Here is a 22,213-nt window from a genome sequence, read left to right as displayed (position 1 = left end):
GTCACCCAAATTGGAGGGCGGTGATGTGATCTCGGCTTACTACGACCTCTGCCTCCTGGGTTCAAGCGATTCTCAGCTTCAGCCTCCTGAGTAGCTGAGATTACAGGTGCCCGCCACCATGCCCGGCTAATTTTTGTATTTTTAGTAGAGATGAGGTTTCACTGTGTTGGCCAGGCTGGTCTTGAATTCTTGGCCCCAGGTGATCTGCCCGCCTGGGCCTCCCAAAGTGCTGGGATTACAGGAGTGAGCACCATGTCCGGTCTAGATACATATTTCTATTAATACACATTTGCAGGGATTGTTTGTTACTGAAGTTGACGCCTTGTGCTTGAGAATGCTATTTCACTGACACAATTGTTATGGTATAAATGTGAGAGTATAGTTACAATCTGGACACTATTTTTTGCTTGTCTTATTGGCCCAGCAACCAGCTTGACACTGGGGACTATCAGGCTCCAAATAATAACCAATGTCTCACTCCAAACAGACAGGATACTACGGAGCCAGGGTCAGCAAACATTTTCTGTAAAGGGCCAGATAGTAAATATTTTGGGCTTTGTGGGCCCTATGGTCTCTGTCACAACGATTCAACTCTGCTGTTGTAACAAAAAAGCAGTCAGACAATATGTAAATGAATGGGCATGGCTGTGTTCCAGTAAAACCACAAAAACAGGCAGCTAGCTTTGGTGTGGGGCCCTAAGAGCTTGGACTTTGAAGCCAGGTTCAAATCCTGGCTTTCTCACCTTCTAGCTCCGTTACCTTAAAGAACTTCATTATCTTCCTTGTATTTTAGTCTTTTCATCTCTAAATTAGTGATAGTACTTAACAGTGTTGTTATAAAGATTAAACGAGTTAAGTTTGTAAAGTACTTAAACAGTGCCTACCAGGTAGTAAGTGCTATAGCAGAGTGTGTTAGATAATGAAACATCCTGTGCTGTGGATATATTATTCCCATTACGATTTGGATTCAAATAAAGAAATACATGACTTAGAAGAAGGCTACGACTTGAACTCAGTTTCCTCATCTCTAATATTAATACAATTGCACTTTTCTTATCAGAGGAAAAATCATCACATCGAAACACAGGGAAATTCCCCATGACAGCCTAGGAGTCAGGCCTTGGCCCCTAAAGCCAAAATCTTTTTTTTTTTTTTTTTGAGATGGAGTCTCACTTTCTTGCCCAGGATGGAGTGCAGTGGTGTGATCTTGGTTCACTGCAATATCCGCCTCTGGGGTTCAAGTGATTCTCCTGCCTCAGCCTCCCGAGTAGCTGGGATTACAGGCGCCCACCCCCACGCCCAGCTAATTTTTTGTATTTTTAGTAGAGATGGGGTTTCACCACATTGGCCAGGCTGGTCTCGAACCCCTGACCTCAGGTAATCTGCCCGACTCAGCCTCCCAAAGTGCTGGGATTACAGGCATGAGCCATTGTACCTGGCCAAGCCAAAATCTTAAAGGACTACTTGTATTTCTTCTCTCCCCACCCATACATGGAATTATTATACACAGCAGTGTGCTGGGGCTGGTGTGTATTGGCTCACTAATGCTGGCTATTAAATTTTCAGGAATTTGAGCCAGGCGTGGTGGCTCACGCCTGTAATCCCAGCACTTTGGGAGCCACGGTGGGTGGATCTTGTGAGGTCAGGAGTTCGAGACTAGCCTGGCCAACATGGTAAAGCCCCAATCTCTACTAAAAATACAAAAATTAGCTGGGTGTGGTGGTGGGCACCTGTAATCCCAGTTACTCAGGAGGCTGAGGCAGGAGAATCACTTGAACCTGGGAGGCGGAGGTTGCAGTGAGCCAAGATGGTGCCATTTTACTCCAGCCTAGGCGACAAGAGCAAAACTCCATTTCAAAAACAATAAAATAAATAAGTAACCATAAAAATTTTCAGGAATTTCGTGAAGCAGTAGGGAAACTCTTGGTAGCTTGAAATTGGCTGTGGTGGGAGCATTTACACCATGAAATTGGCAGGGGCCACACAGTCAGAGTTTTCAATCTCTTAGAGAACTAGGTTATCAGCACACTGGCCCGACGCCAGCAGTAAGCACTCCTCCAGGAGGGACCCCGTGTCCTGAATAGCTAGTTGGTAAACAATATTCAGTGGCACGTGAACTGCCACATCCTAGGGCATCATGACCTCAGAAAAATGCCAAGCGCATGCTTTTGCCTCATGGCAGAGGCAAACAGTTTTTACATGCTTTGTTTAGAGACAGAAACAAGTCAGTGATGGCCATGGACTGTGATTTGTAGACATCTGACTTAACAGTCCTGCTCTCTGTTCCCATTCCAGTACACACACACACACACACTGGCCTGCATAGGTCAAGCTAAATAGGAACTGAATGGCTTAGGAGGCACTAAAAGAAAGAGAGATAGAGCTTGTTGGGCAAACATCATAATCATAATCAAAGTACTTTCTTTTCTTTTTTTGAGATGGAGTCTCCCTCTGTCGCCCAGGCTGGAGTGCAGTGGCATGATTTCGGCTCACTGCAGCCTCCACCTCCCAGGTTCAAGCAGTTCTCCTGCCTCGGTCTCCCAAGTAGCTGGGATTACAGGCGCCTGCCATCATGCCTGGCTAATTTTTGTATGTTTAGTAGAGACAGGGTTTCGCCATGTTGGCCAGGCTGGTCTCAAACTCCCAACCTCAGGTGATCCACCTGCCTCAGCCTCCCAAAGTGCTGGAATTACAGGCATGAGCCACTGCGCACAGCCTCAAAGTACTTTTAATGGACAGTTTTTCTAGGAAAGGCAATGAGTGCTGTGTTTGTTTTGTTTGCTTGTTTTGCCATTTTTTAATGGCAAAAGGTCTTCATAATCTAAACATGTGACCTCTAACCTTTTGTGGAGGCAGCAGAGGGAATACAAACAAGGGCTGAACTCAGTCAGAGATTCTTAGATAAGACACTCCCTCTTGTGAAGTTGTGAATCTCATTTTTCTTCTCTATAAAAGGAGAATCAAAACAATTCCATTGCTAGTCTGACATCGTGGTTGTGAAAATCAATGTTAACTTGTTCTCCACTTACTCAGCATACTTTCTGACTACCGCTGTGTGCTGTGAGGGGCTGAGGATCCAGATGTGGCTGAGGAAGGTCCTGGCTCATGAGGAGGTGGAAGTCTGGGTGCTTAAACAGATAATCCAGAGTTTTGATGCGAGATGAACTCATTCTGGTGAATCACTCTGGCTTCATTTGGTTATAGTGGTCAAGAGTTTGGCCCTGGAGCAAAGTGTCTGGGTTTGAATCCTGGCTGTGCTTTCGGGTGAGTTATTGAACACCTCTTTTTCCATTCTGTAAAATGGGATTTTTAAGCTTTCCTCAATTTGTAAGCAGAAATAATCTTCCTCAATTTGTAAGCAGAAATAAGCTTTCCTCAATCTGTAAACAGAAATAATAGTACCTCCTTCCTAGAATTGTTATAAAGGTTAATGAGATCATATATGTAAAGTTTCTTCGTCTATGAAAATGAACAGAATAGTCACTACTACTTTTAGTGTTGGCATCGTTGTGATGATTAAATGAGATAACATATGAAAGTATTCAGAACCTTAGGAAAAAAACATGAATAAGGTAGACTCATGGAAAACAAAAACACTAAATAGGTGCTTATTCAAGGTTGTAAATGCAGTGAGACAAATATGCACTAAAGAGGGATTCTTTTTGTTTTGTTTTTTGAGATGGAGTCTTGCCAGGCTGGAGTGCAGTGGCGTGATCTCAGCTCACTGCAAACCTCCACCTCCGGGTTCATGCGATTCTCCCACCTCAGCCTCCTGAGTAGCTGGGATTATAGGTGCCTGACATCACACCTGGCTAATTTTTGTATTTTTGGTAGAGACGGGGTTTCATTATGTTGGCCAGGCTGGTCTCGAACTCCTGACCTCAAGTGATCCACCTGCCTCGGCCTCCCAAAGTGTTGGGATTACAGGGGTGAGCCGTGCGCTCAGCTAAAGAGGGATTCTTAGCCTGGGAGTCAGGGAAGGCATTTAGAGATGATATCTGAGATCGTAAATTCATTCATTCAGTCATCCATCAGGTGCAAACATTTGAGTGTCTATCACATGCCAGGCTTCATCTAGTGCTGGGTCTACAGTGATAAGCCAAACTGACTTATTCTTTACCAGTAGCAGCACAAAGAGATGGTTTGGGTGGGGATGGGGGATTTTTTTTTTTTTTTTTAAGAGCTGAGATCTCACTATGTTGCCCAGGCTGGAGTGCAGTGGCACAATCATAGCTCACCATAAACTCAAACTCCTGCGCTTAGGCAATCCTAGAAATCCTCCCACCTCAGCCTCCCAAGTAGCTGGGACTACAGGCACCTGCCACTGTGCCCGGGTGAGAAGGATATTTTATGTGCCTGTTTCCCATAATCCCAAAAGTCCTTCTCACATTTACAAAAATAAACAACCATTATTTTTTCAATCTTACATAAGTGTCATACAACCACAGCCTTGAGATAAATACAATAACAACACAATAAAAATACTATACATAAAAATATGTTTGCATAGAATTTACATCGTATTATAAGTAATCTAGAGATGATTTAAAGTATAGATCACGGGTTGTGGTGGCTCATGCCTGTAATCCCAGCACTTTTGGAGGCTGAAGCAGGTGGATCACCTGAGGTCAGGAGTTCAAGACCAGCCTGGCCAACATGGTGAAACCCTGTCTCTACTAAAAATACAAAAAATTAGCTGGGCCTGGTGGCGGATGCCTGTAATCCCAGCTACTTGGGAGGCTGAGGCAGGAGAATTGCTTGAACCCAGGAGGCGGAGGTTGCACTAAGCCAAGATCATGCCATTGTACTCCTGGGTGACCCAACGAGACTCTGTCTCAAAAAAAAAAAAAAAAGTACACAGGAGGATGTATATAGGTTATATGCAAATACTATACCCTTTTATCCAAGAAACTTGAGTATTTTTGGATTTTGGTATCCACAGAGGTTCTGAAACCAATTCCCTGTAGATATCGAGGGACAACTGTATATGCATTTAAGCCCAAAGTTGAACTTATAAGTTAGTCAGGCAAGAAAAAAAGGGAAGGGAAAGAATAGATTGTACAAAGACCGTGAGTCAGGAAAGAGGTTGGTGCGTTTGAGGAATTGAAAGAAGGCCTAGTGTAGCTGGAGTAACTTGGGGAAGGGGTCTGCGGTGAGAAGACGGGGAGAGCAGAGGAGTGCCAGTGGAGGGGGAAGTGGTGGGCAGGTTACATCCTGCACTGGACTTTGTGGACCCAAGAAGTTCATCTAGTATTCCAAGTGAGGTGGGAAGCAAGTGAAAGCTTTTATCAGCAGCTCTGCTTGAAGTCACATAAACTAATACTCTGGCTGCTGTGTGATAATGCACTGGAGGTGGGCAAGGGCAAAAGCAGAGGAACCCACTGGGAGCGAATGCACTAGTGCCAGGTGAGAGATGAGGGGGCATGCCAGGTGAGAGATGGAGGAGGCATGCCAGGTGAGAGATGAGGGGACATGCCAGGTGAGAGATGAGGGGGCATGCCAGGTGAGAGATGAGGGGGCATGCCAGGTGAGAGATGGAGGGGACATGCCAGGTCAGAGATGGAGGGGGCATGCCAGGTGAGAGATGGAGGGGACATGCCAGGTGAGAGATGAGGAGGCATGCCAGGTGAGAGATGAGGGGGCATGCCAGGTGAGAGATGGAGGGGACATGCCAGGTCAGAGATGGAGGGGGCATGCCAGGTGAGAGATGGAGGGGACATGCCAGGTGAGAGATGAGGAGGCATGCCAGGTGAGAGATGAGGGGGCATGCCAGGTGAGAGTGGAGGGGACATGCCAGGTGAGAGATGGAGGGGGCGTGCGAGGTGAGAGATGAGGGGGCATGCATTATTCTAGTGGCAGTGAAATGGAGCAATGGGGAAGGATTTGAAATGGACTTGGTGTTGGATTGGATGGGGTGGTGAAGGAGAGGGAGGTGTAAAGAATGACTCCCAGGTTTTGGGCTTCAGCAGTTGTTTGGGTGACAGCGTCTTTGCTAAGGTCAGGAGGCCCAGGAGAGAGGAGCTGATTTGGGGAAGAAAGGCAAGAGTTAAGTTTGGGATAAGTGAACTTATCTGGCACCAGTGAAACCCCATGTGAAAATGATAGGGAGGAATGGCCAAGGGACTCTGAGGAGTGGCCTGGGCTGCAGGCATATGGTTGACATTCTTTTTGAGATAGAGTCTTGCTCTGTCATCCAGGCTGGAGTACAATGGTGCCATCTCAGCTCACTGCAGCCTCTGCCTCCTGGGTTCAAGTGATTCTCCTGCCTCAGCCTCCCAAGTAGCTGGGATTACAGGCGCACGCCACCACGTCTGGCTAATTTATGTATGTTTAGTGGATGGGGTTTCACCATGTTGGCCAGGCTGATCTCAAACTCCCAACCTCAGGTGATCCGCCCGCCTCGGCCTCCCAAATTGCTGGGATTAAAGGCGTGAGCCACCATGCCCAGCCTCAGTTTACAGTTATTAATGTACATGCAGATGACAGCTATAGCCATAGTAGATGAGGCCACCAGGGGAGAGCATGTGGATCAGTCCTCTTATCTTTTTTGGGGGACCCAGACACCTTTGAGAAGCTGCTAAAAGCTCCACTTCTTCCTTTAAAAGTATTTGCATCCAAGTTTAAGGAGCTTATAGATCCTTCTGAAGCCCATCCACAACTCTTGTAAGGTCAAGAGATGTCAAATTAAAAACAAACAAACAAACAAAAACACAACAAACCTTGTGTAGACACAGGAATGGATCCTGGGTTGAGCCTTGGGGAACAGCAACATTTAGAGAAGGACAGAGGAAGCACCTGCGGAGGCTGAGATGGAGTAGACAAAGAGAAACAGGGAGGAGGAATTCCAAAATAGAGTATGTTATCAAAACTAACAGCAAAGTGTCTCAAGGATAGGAGATGCATGCTGCTGAGAGAACTAGAAAGATAAGGCCTGCAAAGTGTCCTCCGGATTTGGCAACAGTAATATTTTGGGGAGGCCTAGCCCCTGGAGTTGGCCTAACAGTGGTCATTTTGTGGAGAGCTAGCTCTGTTAGGAGGAGGCTTTGCCTCTCTGGAGTGGGAAAATAGATCCTGGGGCCGATGTAGGATGATGCGCAGATTTGCGGGTGGGAAGATGAGGATTTTTCCTCTTGATGGTGTATGTTTTCTTAGTGAAATAGGAAGTAAGGGGACAGTGAGAGGGAAGGGCATGCAAAGATGGGGGTTTTGAGGATGAAGAAGATGCAAAATAGCCTTTCTGAGAAGTGACGTCAGACCTTACTGGTATGACTGTTACCTCCATGCAGCTGCAATCAGGGTTGGTGCTTACAGTGAGTAGGATCAGAGGGGGGAAGCAGTGGGCTTGGACCCAGAATCATCATGACTTGAGAACCAGTAAGTCTTCCAGGACTTCTCCAGACTGTTCCACTCCCTTTCTCTCGCCTATCTTGGGTTTCTCCTTTTTTCTTGCACCTTCTTTTCCCTCAACCCATAAACATGCTCAAGCCTTTCCTGGTGACTCAGCACTTCCTCTAAAGCCAGTGTCCAAATTCCTTTTTTCACCATTCTCAAAACATCTGTAACAGAAAAGTTTTTGGAATATCCAACTGCTTTTCTCTTTTTCCTATAGCTTTCCCTTGACTGGCTGTATGTTGCCTTACTTTGGCTGCACCTCGAATTCTGGGGCTCTTTGTGATCTTTTAAAAGCCCGAACGCGTTGACAGGTTCATGCTGGGTAGCTTGGAGGTATACACTGCAGCCAGAAGCCTAGGGAAACTCTTAGGATTTTAAATGGAGTGCATTGTAGTTCACTCTGAAGGCTGAATTTGTCTAACAATTCAGGCTGGAAAGGATGGATGCCAGTGGGAACCACCGTAGGAATTTTTTTTTTTAGATGGAGTTTTGCTCTTCTTGGCCAGAGTGGAGTGCAATGGCGCAATCTCAGCCCACTGCAACCTCCATCTCCCAGGTTCAAGCGATTCTCCTGCCTCAGCCTCCCAAGTAGCTGGGATTACAGGCATGTGCCACCACGTCCAGCTAATTTTGTATTTTTAGTAGAGATGAGGTTTCACCATGTTGTCAGGCTGGTCTTGAACTCCTGACCTCGTGTGATCCACCAGCCTCGGCCTCCCAAAGTGCTGGGATTACAGGCATGAGCCACTGCGCCCAGCCCACCATAGGAATTTGAGGCTTATTAAGGAGGTGAAATAGATAGGACTTGGTGATTGGGTAAGGCAGAGGGCTGAATTAAGAATGACTCACTCATTCCCAACTTTCTAATTCTGATGACTGTGGAGATGGTGGTGCCAACAGCTGAGGGAGGGGCAGCTATGAAAGCAGAGAATGAGTTCAGTTTTGGAAATGTCCAGTTTGGGGTGTCTGTGATATCTAGCTAGAGCTGCCTGGCAGGCAATTGGATATTTGGTTCTAAATTTTGTGGAAGGGGTCTGGGTTGGAAATTGCTAATTTGGGAGCTGCATCCATGAGGATGCAGGCAATCCCAGAAGAATGAGTGAAGTGAGCAAAGTTGTTGGCTTAGAGTGGAATCCTGAATTTAAGGTGCAGATTCACAAGTAGATGTTACCAAGGAGGCAGAGGCTTTACTTACCTTCATGTGATAATCCAGAGGGTTCACTCTTCTGAAACCAAGGTAGTAGAGAGATTCCAGAAGGTGAGAGTCATCCCAAGGTGTCAAATGTAGCAGAAAGAACCAGAGAGATAAGGCCTGAGGAATGCCTGCAAGGTTTGGCAAAATGAAAGTCATGAGTTGCTCTTGCCTGAGCAAGGTGAAGGGTTAGAGTTGGGGAGGAGAAGCCAGAATGCCAAGTGTTGAGAAATGAGGAAGCAGAGGCAGCCAGGGAAGACCATTGTTTGAGGTCCGCATGAAACACTTGGAAGCTAGTTGGAGGGAGCACTTCAGGAGGAGGTTGGCTTGATAATTTTGTTTTTAGGACTTGGAGAGGCCAACCTGTTTAAAGGCTGAGAGGAAGCAGCAAGGCAAGGAAGCCTGGGAGGTGGGGGAGGAAGATTTTAGGGCCAGACCCCACCCAGACCGTTTTCTTGTGGTTTGCCCAACACTACCACACACCCCTTAATCTCATTTAATCATTTCAACACCACGAGGTTTGAAACAAACGGTGAGGTATGAAACAAAACGGTGAGGCCAGGGATTGGGAAGAGAAAGCTGTGGTTCCATCTCGGTCCAGCGTGCTGTCCACGCCAAGAGGCGGGCAGAAATGCTAGCCTCACACAATCTAGGGGACCAGGGGTGGCTGTGGCGCCCTCCTGCCCGCAGGAGGTGTTATCAGTGTCGCGGACTCGGGCGGTGTGCTGCCCCTGGTGAGATGTCATCACGTGCGTGGACCAGGGGTGGCGGCCCTGGTAAGTGTCCAGGGACTAAGGGCTCCCTGCTCTCCAGGTGTGGTGGACGGGGTCCGCATGCATGCCGTCCTCTTCTCTAAGACGCTAAGGCGGCTGAGTTCTGTAAGTAGCGGCAAGAAGAACAGTCACGGAGCGGGCCGGGCACAAAGGGCGCAGGCCAGGTGGCCCCAGGCGGAAAGATGGCCGCAGCCAGAGGCTGCAGGTGGCCGGGCGCGCTCCCTGCGCGCGTCGCGGAGAGGACGCAGCGAAAATCAAACCCGCGATTTGGAAATCCGGCTGCGGCCCTACCCCGAGATAAGTCTTCTGCGGAGGGAAGTATTTAATTTGCATCCAGGACGGTCGGAAGAGGCGCCTTCCCGTCGGAGGCGAGGCGCGGGCGCGTGGGAGCTTTCTCGTGTGCGCTCCTCCCTGTCCTCCGCCTGCGGCCGGGGCGCAGAGTCCGTGGTCATATGAGAATGACAGTTTTTTGTCTGTTTGTTTTGGCGGGGGCGAGGGTGGCTAAAGGAATGAAAGAGCCTTGCATTAGGAGCTGGGCTCTGGTTTCCTCTCCACCATTCTAGCACAAGCTTCCTCCATGACCATGACTCTGGGCAACGTCTGTCTAGTCACTGAGCCTCAGTTTCCCTGTTCATAAAATGGGAGATTGGACTATGATGTTGTCATAGCCCAAAGGGGATGAAGTGGGATTTGCCGTTCCATTTCATCCCACCAGAAAAGCCGCCCTCCATTAGCCACCCCGGGCTGACACCCAGCGTTTTTGGACGGCCTCGCCTCCCCTTACCTGCCTCTTTCTTTCTTTTGCCCGTTCGAGGGTGGCAAAGGCGATGGGTGGGCGGGGCCTATAAATCGCCCCGCCCCTCCCCGCCCCTTCCCCGCCTCCTGACGTCGCCCGCGCCCCTCCGCCCTCCGCGCGGGGATGAAGCCACCACGTGACCTCACATCCGGCGCGGGAGTCCTGAGCCCGCGCGCGCTCCCCCGCCTGCCTGCCGGCTCTCCCCGCAGCGTGATCGGGCGCCGCCGCGGAGGGGAGGGGGGTTCTCTACGTCGCTGGCGGCGGGGGGGCCGTTTCGGAGTGCAGACCGCCCCCCTCCCCTGCCCACCTCCCGCCGCCCTCCCTTGTTCTCGCCCTGCCGGCTGCACGCCGCCGCCGCGGGCGCGGAGGAGGAGGAGAGCGCGGACGTCCCAGGGCCGGCCCGGCCCCGCCGCGGCGCCTCCTTCCCTCACCCTGAGCCGCAGCGCGCGGCGCCGGCCGAGGGCGATGGGGCTGGGCTGAGGCGAGGCGGCGGCGGCGACAGCGGCGGCCGGGTCCCCCGCGGTCCCTGGGGCTGGTCCGGCCGCGAGGGAGGCCGCGGAGGAGGCGGCGCGGCGGCGGCCAGTGAGCGGCCCCGGTGAGCGGGGCGAGGGGCGGGTGGGCAGCGGCGCCGGGGGAGGTCGAGGAGGCGAATGGTGGTGTCGGGGCGGCGGGTACCGGGCGAGGTCGCGGCCAGCCTTCTCGGGCCGGAGTTGGGCATCGCGGGGACGGGGAGTGTCGGGGGCAGGTGAGGCCAGGGCAGGAGCCCACGCGGTGGGTGCGAAGGCCTGGGGGGGACGCGCCGCCTGCCGGGGGCGAGCGTGGGGGCCGGGCGCTTGGTGGTTGGTAGTCAGAGCTTTCGGAAAGTCCTGTGGGAGGTGGAGGTCCTGTGGGCAGAGGCGTAGGGGTGCTGGCAGGGCCCTCGATGAGTCTGTGCGGGACCCTAGCTCGTCCTCAGCCGTGGAGTATGGAGCTGCTTGCCATCTCCGCATTTCACAGATAAAAGGAGTGAGTCCCGTGGAGGAAAAGTGACTTCTGACTTGCCTGAGGCCTCCCACTCGGACTCTGTGGCAGTGAGGACTAGAAAAACCCAGGGCCCTTTGCCCTAGCAGTGCTCTCGTGGCCACTCTCGCTATGGCCTTTCTGTCTCTCCATTCCCTTCACAGAGTCAGGTTCTGGTGGAAGTATGACCTCTGGCTTTTTTGGGGAGGTGAGGGGTAGGGATGAAGGGGGAGGGAATCGGGTTGGGATTGGCAGGAACTCAGCTGGGGGCTTCCCGGTGTGGAAGAAGCTTTGTGACAGGTGTTTATTGTTTCCTCTTCCCATAGATCTGACAGACATCCCTGAATCTTGGTGTTTGGACATAGGAGGTATGAATCACTCACATAATTAGCCGCTTTTAATCATCAGTGTCTTAGAGCTATATTTAGTGGTTATATTAGTGCAAAATGAATGGGTGTGGAGTCGTACACCTAGAAACAGACTTGTGTTCCTCTATACGATTCTAACTAAATGAGTAGAACATACCTGGGTATGTCATGGCTACTTTAGATCTATGAGGCAGGAAGTTAGAATTTAAGGAATCTAAGAAATGCAGGGACTTGAAAGATTATTGCAAAATAAAGCCTTTAAAAAGTATCGTTGTTAAAATGAAAGTGTTTCGATTTGATTCCTTTGAAGGGTGAGTACGTAATGAACAGTGCTCTATCTTTGGTTAGAGCTCAGCCTCTTTACCAAGGTACATGTATTAATTTTGTTTCACTGGAATATATGTGACATTATTTTCTCTAGAGGTTTGTTGCTTTGCTTAATAGACTACAGTTGCCAAAAATCAATGTGTGTGGGCATCTCATCCTGGTTTGCAACCCCTTTAAGGCAAATCAGTGCTTGGAAGTTGTTCGAAGTAGTAAACCTATTATTAATGATTGTTGTAGAACATAACTTTTGCTGGTATCTTTGATTTGCATTATCCTACCATTAGATCAGGCAGAGAGTGAAATAATTGAGATTTTGAGCCTTGTTAGAACAACAATGCCTGGCTTTGGTCAGGGGATTGGGTAGGAAAAGTGACACTATTTGGTTGCTTTAAATTTTTTTTTTTTTTTTTGAGATGGCATCTTGCTCTGTTGCCCAGGCTGGAGTGCAGTGGTGTGAACTCGGCTCACTGTAACTTCTGCCTCCTGGGTTTCAGCGATTCTCCTGTCGCAGCCTCCTAAGTAGCTGGGATTTCAGGTGTGTGCCACCACGCCCAGCTAATTTTTTGTATTTTTAGTAGAGACAGGGTTTCACCACGTTGGCCAGGCTGGTCGTGAACTACTGACTTCAGGTGATCTTCCTGCCTAGGCCTCCCAAAGTGCTGGTATTACAGGCGCTAGCCACCGAGCTTGGCGGTTGATACTTACATAGTTAGTTTAGGTCACCAAATATACAACACACAGAATCCGCTTTGGATAAACCACATTATCGAGCTCATTTTGAAATCCTATTTCTGTCTTCAAGATTTTCGAGATTATAAACCACTTTGTTGTCATTCACAAGTATAAAGTTCTTATTTCCAACATCACTGAGACTGAGAAAAAAGACAGAATAAAGATAAAGTTCCATAGGGCGTCCCCATCACTGCTTATTCTCACTGAGTTTGACCATTGAGTAGGTTGTATATCCATAGTAATATGATATAGTGCCTATGTCCTAAGATTACTATTTATCTTAGGAATAAAGCATATTCATATTCTAAAACCTCATATTCACAGTAGTTACAAAACCACCACGTTATACAAGCATAGTTTGATTCAATATATGGAATGGAAGAAGGAAAGAAACCATTATGTGCCAGGAAAAGTGCTCCTTTCTTTACATATGGTCTCAACTAATCCTCAACACTTTCAGGTAACAATATTCTTCTTTGTTAAAAAAAAAATTAAAGAAGTTAAGGAGCTTACAGTATAAGCGACTTTGAAGACAGACAGAAACCTAGCTCTGTGTTAATGTGCTTAACACAGAGGTTTCTGTCTCTGGGTTTATAAGGTTAGTTGTATGTGACTAGGCAACATAACATCTCTGAACCTCAGATTCTGGTGATAAATCAGATATGTCATCTTAATAGGTGTCACACACTAGATCACCTTCTTTTAGCACACAACTGTGAACTGTTTTGACTGTTTTCTTTGATAGGTGATAAGCTGCCAACTCCTATTCCATTTATCATCCATTCAAATATAGCTCAGTTTAACTCTTAGATATGTTGTACTCATCCTTTTCTCCCTTCTCTCTCCCTCCTTAGAATCACATTTCTTATTTTTTAAAGTTTTAAAAACATTTTTTAATACTGCTTCTTGCAGAACAGGGCTGCTCGATAGGCAGTGTGCCTGGAGTAGCCAGAAGAAATTAGAAATTAAATTTCTTCTTGGTGTTACCTCTGAATGTATTCTGAATATGCCATATCTCATCTGGATCCAAGAGGTAGCTGATGGGATTTAGCCTTGGTTTTGGAACATAGTTTTTGTGAAAATGAAGCTAATTGGCCTATGGAGAGAGTAAATCTGTAGTCGTCAAAACCATGTTGAGTTTTTTTGAGATAGGGTCTTGCTCTGTCTCCCAGGCTGGAGTGCAGTGGCTCTGTCATGGCTCACTGCAGCCTTGACCTTCTGGGCTCAAGCAGTCCTCCCACCTCAGCTTCCAGAGTAGCTGGGACCACAGGTGTGCACCATCACACCCAGCTAGTTTTTTTTTTTTTTGTAGAGGTGGGTTTTCACCGTGTTGCCCAGGCTGGTCTCAAACTCCTGAACTGAAGCAGTCTGCCTGCCTTGGCCTCCCAAAGTGTTAGGGTTACAGGCATTTATCACTGCACCCCGTCCTTTTTTCTTTTTTTTTCCCCCCAGAGAAAGAGTCTCGCTCTCTCACTCAGGCTAGAGTGTAGTGGCACGATCATGGCTCACTGCAGCCTTGAGTTCCTGGGCTCAGGCGACCTTCCTGCCTCAGCAACAAGGGTAGTTGGGACAACGGGTGTGTGCCATCATGTCTGGCTAATTTAAAAAAAAATTTTTTTTTTTTTTTTGAGACGGAGTCTTGTACTGTCATCCTGGCTGGAGTGCAGAGGCGCGATCTCCGCTCACTGCAACTTCCGCCTCCTGGGTTCAAGCGATTCTCCTGCCTCAGCTTTCCGAGTAGCTGGGATTACAGGTGCCCACCACCATGCCTGGCTAATTTTTTGTATCTTTAGTAGAGACTGGGTTTCACCATGTTGACCAGTCTGATCTTGAACTCCTGACCTTGTGATCCGCCTGCCTCGGCCTTCCAGACTGCTGGGATTACAGGCGTGAGCCACCACGCCCGGCCTTTAAAATTTTTTTGTAGAGATGAGTATCTCGGTTTGTTGCCCAGGCTTGTCTCAGAACTCCTGGCCTCAAGTGATCCTCCTGCCTCAGCCTCCCAAAGTGTAGGAATTACAGACATGAGCCACCTTGCCCAGCCAAAACCATGTTCTAATTAACCACTTAAGTTCAAATAGCATGCAAGAAGCAAGGAAATTGTTAGGTTCTCGTTTGAGTTTTGTTGAACATCATATTTTGAGAGTAGAGAAGTAAGAGAGGCTCAGATTTCTGGCACATAATTTTAATTAAGATTTAGGTTTAAAAAAATGAAAAAGTTCTGGGCTCAAATTAATCTGGAGAAAAGTAGATATTTGTAAGGTAGAAGAAGGTCCACAGTTAATCAGTTATCACTAGATAACTAGTGATTATAAAAGGAGTTAAAACGATTTGTGTTAGTAGGTTATGCACAGTGACTCATGCTTGAAATCCCAGTGCTTTGGGAGGCCAAGGCAGGAGGATGGCTTGAGGCCAGGAGTTTGAGACCAGCCTGAGTGACAAAGCAAGACTTTGTCTTAAAACAACCAAAAATAATTTGTATTAATCAGGTTAAAAATAGAGGTAAAATGAGATGACATGAGTAAATGGTAATTGGAAAAAATGATCACTGTTATGATAGTTTAAAAAATGACTTTATGGTAATCAGTAAGAAGGGAGAAAAACGGAATAAAGGAGAGAACTGTCCAAATAAGTGTCTGACACTGAGGAAGGTTGTTTGAGGATGGTGATTGCTGAAAAGTTTCCATAAAATGATTCTCTAGAGGGAACTATGCCAATACCATATCTGTTAACATCTTAGACCCACAGGGTCATATTGGAACCTTTGCTAGAGTCTGAGATGGTAAAACATTAACTCGAATAGTAAACGTCAAGACCGCAAAATTAATCTGTTAATCAGAATTTTGTCTTTTTTGTTGATTCTTACACTTACTCCCTGTGGATCTTGGTTTTAAATGATCAATTGACACTCAGAGACTAGTTAGATAAGAAATTAAATTTCCAGAAAAAGTCACTTAAGTATGTAAAGTAGAATTTCCTAATTATGTGGTCTGGAAATTGCTGATGTCTACAGAATCTTTCTCAAGTTTGAAGTAAAAATACTTGTAACTGATGTTGGGTGGTAAGGTGAAAGATGGTTCTAGCTCAGTGAGTTTTTCTTATTTTTTTTTCACAAAGGAGTTGAACATTGAAATAAAGAGGTGTGAGACTGGAAAATAATGCGGAGAGATCATGGATTATTTAGATTAGTGCCTTTTTAGAGAAGAGGAAAGTGAAGTAAGTGACAGCATAAAGGATCCTTTATGGTCTAACCCCAGATCCTTTCTCTAGCTTGGGTGTTCCTTTCACCCTTGCTTTAATTTTGTACTCTGTAGTAATGGCACATCTCAAAACTTTTGCATTTTTTTTTTCCAGTGAGAGCCAACTTTTAAGGGTTGCCTTTGCTTGCTTGACAGACTTCTTGAAACAAACTATTTTTAGTTTGTTTAAAATGAGTCATGGAATTGCTCCCACATATGTGTCTAAGGGTGGTTTCTTCATAGCATCCCTGTTGCTCTGTTTTTTTTTTTTTCCATTTGTGAAATAGGATGAAATATATTTTAGTTATTTATTTTGATATAAAAGACAAGTGTTTTGGGTCCTGATTTTTTTCTGATTGATCTAAAGAGCTGAATAAAGTGCAATCACTGCTCATGGGGCCTTTGGGCCTAAATTCTCAGATAAAAATCCTGTGTAGTCAAAATTACCCTTGGAAAAAGTCTTTTAAAAAGGCACCAGTTTGAAAACTGGTTGGAAACTGACATTCTGTCTTTCAATTCTAGTGTCCAGTTTTTCCTGTAGTTTTAGAGAGGTCCCTTTTTTGGTGAGCTGGAATCCTCACCAGCTGTGTGAGACCGTTTTGACAGGTGAATGGGTCTTAGATTGACTGAGCATAGCGGATTTATAGTCTTCATTTCATGCTCACTCTGGGACAGGGATGTAAAGGAAGGCATACTATCATCATTATTCAAATTATTTTTCTCTGTTGCTTCCCCCCAGAGTGTAAGTAGTTGAATTGGTTTTAATTAAGTGCATATATGATGTGACTCCACAGTGTGAATAATGGAGAAATAACTTAGGTATTTATGAACATCTGCTATCTCCGTAAGGTTATGCCACAAAAAGATCTAGTATAATTAAAAGGCTAGGTAATAAAGTTGAGAATATTAGGAGATTATTGGTACTGTCTGTCATTCTGAGGGGATACTCAACTACTTTGAGTGTTTTTGTTTTGTTTTTTTAAAGAATAAATTTATTCCTTACTGCTAGCAAGATCTGCATTGTTTTAAAAGAGCGATGTAAATTATTAATGGATTCCATGAAATTTAAAGTATCTAAACTTAAGTATTACTCTGGGGATAGCACAGTAAGAAAACATGAGTATGTAAAAACATGATGGTGGCTAAAAACTTAACAGTCTTATGTCCTGGGAGAGGGCATGGTGTATTGGATAAAAATGTGGGCTTCAGAGCCATAGTGATTTTGAATTACAGCTCTGTCACATACCAGTCTTGTAGTCTGGGTTAAGTAAGTCACTGAACCTCTGAGAGCTTTTTTATTTGCCAGATAGAGGTGATAAAGGGTACCTTAGAGAATTGTAAGGATAAGAGTCTGAGTGAAGGGTAACTTATTATTTGTTAACTTAGTAACATTGAAGATATTCAAAACAAGTCAGATGTGTGTGTGGGGTGTGATTGATGATTGCTCTTTGTTTTTTTGTTAACTGGAACAGCAGGCAATAATGTTATATTCAGGCTTTTTATGTCCAAAACAATCTATGATTTTGTATCTTTAGTAGCAACATCCTCAAAAGCTCAAGATGTTAACCTCATGTATCTCCGATATACATTTTATGTATATTTTAGTTTTTCTCTTTGTGTCTCTGGTGTGTTTGCAGTCTGTTTTCTCTCCCATCTTGTTACTGTTACCCAATGTCTCTGTCTCTGACCACCTTATAAAATTTAAAACTATCTGTAATTGTATTTATTTTATAGGACTTTATATGCATTATTTTCATTTAAAAATTCTGATTAGTCAAATATTTCTACTTTTTTTTTAAAGAAGACTTTGAATTATATTTCAATTTTGTGACCTTTAGATTTCTTTAAACATGGAATCCTAGTCACTGGTTCCTTATAGACCGAAGATTTTTCTTTTTTTTAAATTTTATTTTATTTTACTTTATTTTTTTAGACCAAAGATTTTTCATTCATCTCTAGATCATGCCTTAGCTTCTTAAGTCACCAGTTTTCTAAGCTCATTTACAATTTTCATCTGTAGTTTCCTTGTTTCTCCTTTTTTTAATGTTTATGTTTCTAATTTTCCTAAGCACAAAAGATAGAAACCTATTTAATGCTAATTATAATAAGTAGATTAGTATACTAAGTAAAATGTAAAGTACAATAGGCAAATGACATAATTTTGTCTGTAGCACTTACTTGAAAGACTAGACTAACCTAGCACACGCTTAATTGAAATATTTAATGGGTCTTTTTGATATGAAAATGTACTTTTCATAATTGTCAGCACTGCCTTAGAGTTAGTTGAAGAATAATTTTAAGCTAACCCATGGTTTTCTGTTCAGTGTTTGATGAAGAGAATAGAATAAGCTCATTAATTTAGTCAGATTCAGAAGCATCTTAAAGAGTACCCCCCGCCCCAATCCTTTCTAATCTCTGGTGCGGCCCATAGTGACTCACTATTCTTCATGTTCCCTTAATAGTTGTGGCAATGATAAGTTATTGTAGTGTATAAGAGTTGTGATTTTATAGGTAGCAAGGAAGGGGGCTTGGTTAGGGCCTCTTGGTTATGCCTTTAGGACTGTGTTGGTACTTCTAACTATTTAATAGTGTTTTAGTTCCTGTACATGCCAAACACAGGGCTGGATGCTGGGGAGACATCGATGAATGAGTTCTTCTCTCTTACACATACACAGTCCAGCAGGTAAACACTGTGCTGTTGCATTGCACAAGTCCAGAGGATACCATTCACGTTGTATTCTTCAGGAATATGGCTCCTTGGCCTGGCCTAGGATCTCTTTCAGGTGACAAAAGTTCAGAATCTCCATCACCTACAAGATAATCTGTATTGTTTATCATGTCTAACAAGACCCTTCCTTATAATCTGATCCTGTCCTATCCTTCTAAACCTCCATTTGTAATTATTCCTCAAAGGCTATCACCCCGTGCACCAGTCAGTTTAAATAACTTGTTTTCCTGGCATTTTTTAGGATCTCTCACTATAGTACCTCTGCATGTGGCAGTTCCCCTGCTTGGGTTTCATCTCTCTATTTTCTCCCTAACATTTTTCCTCTTACTGCTTGTTTGCTTGATCAAGTTTACATCCTTCTGGTCTTAGATCAAGAGATAGTTCTTTTTTGAAGTCTTTTCTGTTCTTGGTTCTCTCTTTCTCCCTGGTGCCATTGGTCACCATTTTGTTTGATATTTGTTTGCTTACTTATTTGTCTAGCCTACTAGATGTGGTTCCTTAAGGTTAGAAATTTAATCTTGTAACCTCCAGCATTTAGACCACTAGTTGGCACATGGTAGGCAATACCATTCTAACAAATGAGTTTTTATGAAATCAAATTGGCAATAAACCAGAATGATTATTGCTAGAATGCTAATTTAATATTTACAGATTTATCTGAAAAATTAGGATACTTGACAACATCTTGGTTTTCTGATTTAATTTACCTTTTTCTAGTCAAGCAGTAGTTTGGGGTTAGATTTCAGGGAACTGCTTGGCTAGAGTGAAGACACTGTTTTAAGTTCATTGGTGAACATGTTGGTGAGAACTTTCTGTCTGCTGAAGAATTAACCATAAGTGGTCTCAAACTAAAACAAAGACACAGAGGTATTCAACCCAAGAAGAATGGATGATCTGTAGGATGGTAGTGTCTGCCCCAGCTCTGTCTCTACCTGTAGCACTCACTGCAGCTAATCTGTAGGAGTGGATGAAGTGAGGTGGAAACACTTCTGGGGGGCCCAGTCAGGAAGAGACTCCTAGATGCTTCTGGGCCAGTCTTTCTGTGCGATAGAGTGTCCACTCCCCATATCCTCTCCATACTTCTTTTAAAATTTTGTTTCTTAGTGATTCATCTTAGGTTAACAGCTATGAGAAGCTGTCACTAATTTATGTGTTAACTTCTGAACAGAAGGATCCTGATTAAGAGGAAGAGGAAGGGTTGATCTGAAGAACATAGTGCTGTGGTGGAGGTTGTGTAGAGTTCCATGAGGTCACTAAGGGACCTGGGAACACAGGATATTGGGAGAGCTGGGAAAGGGGAATAGGGATGAGATGCGGGAGCATGCCAAAGACAAAATTACTTTGTTGTCAAATTTTGCCCACAAAAAGAAGAGGGATTCCACCCCTCCTTCACCCAGTCTTGCCCTGTCTCCTTTATTCAGCTGCACTGCTGGATGCTTGCCTGGTTCCCAGCCTTTAAGGTTTTTAGTCTATAAGTTCAACGTTGTTGGAAAAGTGCTCTGATACCTGCAGAGGTGGGAGAAAGGTGGGGGCAGTCCTCTGCTAGGAGATGGAAGGGACAATCAAAGCTTAGTAGCTTGAGCTGGTCCTGGAAGAGCAAGTAGGAGCTCTTTAGCCAGACTAAGAGAAGGGCATTCTTGGCAGAAGGAATATTCTATATAAAGAAGTGGAGTCAGGGAACAGTAGGGCTCTTTGAAGAACTACAGATTGTGTTCTAAATGAATGACATGTAAGGTTTGTAAGGGGCGAGTGATAACCACTGATGAATGGCAGATGGTGTTGACAACTAGGCGGGGCCAGAGTCTGTAGGATCTTACATGTCTTGCAATCAGTTTTGACTTTGACCTTGGAACCCAGTTGAGGCTCCCTTCCGCCCCAGTTCCTCATGGCAGGGAAATACATCATGTTGTGCGTTGTAAGACTTCAAAACTTTGCTAGTGAGAGGCCTGCTTAATATTATTTAATCTAGTTCAATTTAATTGTTTTGAAAAAAAAAAAAAACAACAACTTACTTTGAAGGTACTCTTTTACCAGTTTGGGAATTGCTACTACAGACAACGGGAAGCTACTGAAGTTTTATGTAGAGAGGGAAATGGTCATATCTGGCTGCATACAGACTTGAATGAGGGAGACGAGGGCTCAGGACCTGAATCAAGGCAAAGCTGATGGAGATAGGCATGGTGAGGTGGATTTGAGAAGGGTAGTCAAAAGATGAGTGGCCGGTTGGATGTAGGTGTGAGATAGGAAGAGTTCGAAGGTGACTTCTAAATTCCTGGCTTGGCTTTTTAGGCAACTCATACTCATTAAAGGAGTAGGGGGAATTGGTGGTGGCTGGGTGGTGGGGCAGATTTTTTGGAAGAAAGAGAAAATGAACCTATTGAGTGTTAGCTGTCTGCAAACATGTAGTTGAATCTGTGGGTCTGAAGCACATGAGAGATTAGTGCTGAAAATGTGAATTGGTAGTTGCCATCGCGATGGTCCAGTAGTGCCACCCCTGATGAGATTGTTACAAAGAGAAGAGCCTGAGGAATATTAATAGGAAAATTAAGAAGCGGGCAGAGGAAATGGAGGCTTGGTAACCTGGCTACCTGCCCAGCAACCCAGGCTAGTGTAATGTGAACTGCAGCTCAGCAGAGTTGTAAGAGGTAAAATGGGCATTTGTGGGCTATCTTAGGAATCTAGACACTATTTTCCTTATGGAGAAATGCATTTCAAGTACATGTGGAGTAAGAATTGGTTTTTAAATGAATTTTGTTCCTTGAAAGATGGTGCTGCCTACGTGTCATTCCTTAAATTTGTTGGTAAGGCTTTTTGATGTAAAGTCACCCCATGCTTGACTTTCTGGTGAAAATGAAAAATACTAATCTTGGTTAAGTGAAGATGATTTTTTCCTGGTTTTGAAAGGCAGTATTCTGGTAAGTAAGAGTAGATAATGCCCATCAAAGTGTTGTGTAAACTAAATATTCCCATACAGGCGTCACTATTGTGGTTGTTATAGTGCCTAAATACATTGATTGTGGGGTGTGTCTGTGTGCGTGTGTGTGTGTATGTGGTTTTTTTTAAATCCTGGATAGTGGCATACAGGACAGTCATAGGAGGTTAGAAAGTTAACATTTTTATGATGGTTGTGCTGTGAATAAGGTGATTAACTTCTTCAATAGCAACTTATATTACTGTATTTTTGAAGTATTTGTTGAATGTAAATGTTACGGCCTTTGCATTGTCTATGCTGGGTTAGCGTGGGTAGGTTTCAGATTAGACAAAGGACTCAAGTAGAAAAACCCAAATTCATGTAACTTAAAGTTGACCCAAGTACCTATGAGTTACATTTATACATTTGCAGGATTTTACTTTTTGTACAGAATAGCTTCCTAGTGATTTTGTGCTTCTTTGTGGTTGGATTTTTCAAATCAGAATCTGGAAGAGTGAAATATGAATCATTCTGTAGTGTATGTAGATCATGAGGAAAACTAATTTTGCTTTGTTTCAAATTGCACAGTAATTCTGAAGTGAACCATACAGAAGTAATGAAAAAAATTATTTTTAGGTTTGCTATCAGTAAGAAAAAACAAACATTTCTGAGGTTTATATGTTTTTAACACACTGAAGACTTGGAGGTATAACCTCTGGAAAATTTTCTTCCACTCTTCTTTTTTTCTTCTCTACT

General features: G+C 44.7%; 1 protein-coding gene and 1 long non-coding RNA gene across 20 annotated transcripts in view, besides 8 other annotated features; one reads left to right on the top strand and one right to left on the bottom strand.

Moving 5' to 3' along the window:
- The first annotated feature begins 2,979 nt into the window (after nt 1-2,979).
- The window catches only part of ATP13A3 (ATPase 13A3), a 91,658-nt gene continuing 72,424 nt past the window's right edge, over nt 2,980-22,213 (top strand). For 6 of the 19 annotated variants that reach the window (NR_164667.1, XM_047448916.1, NM_001374836.1 and 3 more), the window contains exons 1-2: nt 10,312-10,748; nt 11,479-11,520. The gene's annotated coding sequence lies outside the window, so the exon portion shown is untranslated. The other 13 variants (XM_047448912.1, XM_047448909.1, XM_047448910.1 and 10 more) reach the window with 10 other exon arrangements.
- Nucleotides 5,029-5,078: an enhancer, noted in NCBI's record as "active region_21026". NCBI's record gives its function as "activates an Ori minimal core promoter by ATAC-STARR-seq in GM12878 lymphoblastoid cells {active_cell/tissue: GM12878}" and the evidence as "EXISTENCE:reporter gene assay evidence [ECO:0000049][PMID:35858748]".
- Nucleotides 5,119-5,168: an enhancer, noted in NCBI's record as "active region_21025". NCBI's record gives its function as "activates an Ori minimal core promoter by ATAC-STARR-seq in GM12878 lymphoblastoid cells {active_cell/tissue: GM12878}" and the evidence as "EXISTENCE:reporter gene assay evidence [ECO:0000049][PMID:35858748]".
- Nucleotides 5,179-5,288: an enhancer, noted in NCBI's record as "active region_21024". NCBI's record gives its function as "activates an Ori minimal core promoter by ATAC-STARR-seq in GM12878 lymphoblastoid cells {active_cell/tissue: GM12878}" and the evidence as "EXISTENCE:reporter gene assay evidence [ECO:0000049][PMID:35858748]".
- Nucleotides 7,040-7,159: an enhancer, noted in NCBI's record as "active region_21023". NCBI's record gives its function as "activates an Ori minimal core promoter by ATAC-STARR-seq in GM12878 lymphoblastoid cells {active_cell/tissue: GM12878}" and the evidence as "EXISTENCE:reporter gene assay evidence [ECO:0000049][PMID:35858748]".
- On the bottom strand, nt 8,769-10,174 carry ATP13A3-DT (ATP13A3 divergent transcript). Its single transcript, NR_033929.1, has 2 exons — nt 10,142-10,174; nt 8,769-9,858 (listed from the first exon to the last, which is right to left on the bottom strand). It is a non-coding gene; the product is annotated as an ATP13A3 divergent transcript (long non-coding RNA).
- Nucleotides 9,293-9,512: an enhancer, noted in NCBI's record as "active region_21022". NCBI's record gives its function as "activates an Ori minimal core promoter by ATAC-STARR-seq in GM12878 lymphoblastoid cells {active_cell/tissue: GM12878}" and the evidence as "EXISTENCE:reporter gene assay evidence [ECO:0000049][PMID:35858748]".
- Nucleotides 10,183-10,842: a silencer, noted in NCBI's record as "silent region_15024". NCBI's record gives its function as "represses an Ori minimal core promoter by ATAC-STARR-seq in GM12878 lymphoblastoid cells {active_cell/tissue: GM12878}" and the evidence as "EXISTENCE:reporter gene assay evidence [ECO:0000049][PMID:35858748]".
- Nucleotides 10,873-10,922: a silencer, noted in NCBI's record as "silent region_15023". NCBI's record gives its function as "represses an Ori minimal core promoter by ATAC-STARR-seq in GM12878 lymphoblastoid cells {active_cell/tissue: GM12878}" and the evidence as "EXISTENCE:reporter gene assay evidence [ECO:0000049][PMID:35858748]".
- Nucleotides 11,013-11,072: a silencer, noted in NCBI's record as "silent region_15022". NCBI's record gives its function as "represses an Ori minimal core promoter by ATAC-STARR-seq in GM12878 lymphoblastoid cells {active_cell/tissue: GM12878}" and the evidence as "EXISTENCE:reporter gene assay evidence [ECO:0000049][PMID:35858748]".

Source organism: Homo sapiens, chromosome 3, assembly GCF_000001405.40.
Source record: "Homo sapiens chromosome 3, GRCh38.p14 Primary Assembly".
Classification (NCBI taxonomy): Eukaryota; Metazoa; Chordata; class Mammalia; order Primates; family Hominidae; genus Homo; species Homo sapiens.
The sequence above is the reverse complement of the archived record's forward strand: the minus strand, read 5'-3'. Positions and strand labels throughout refer to the sequence as shown.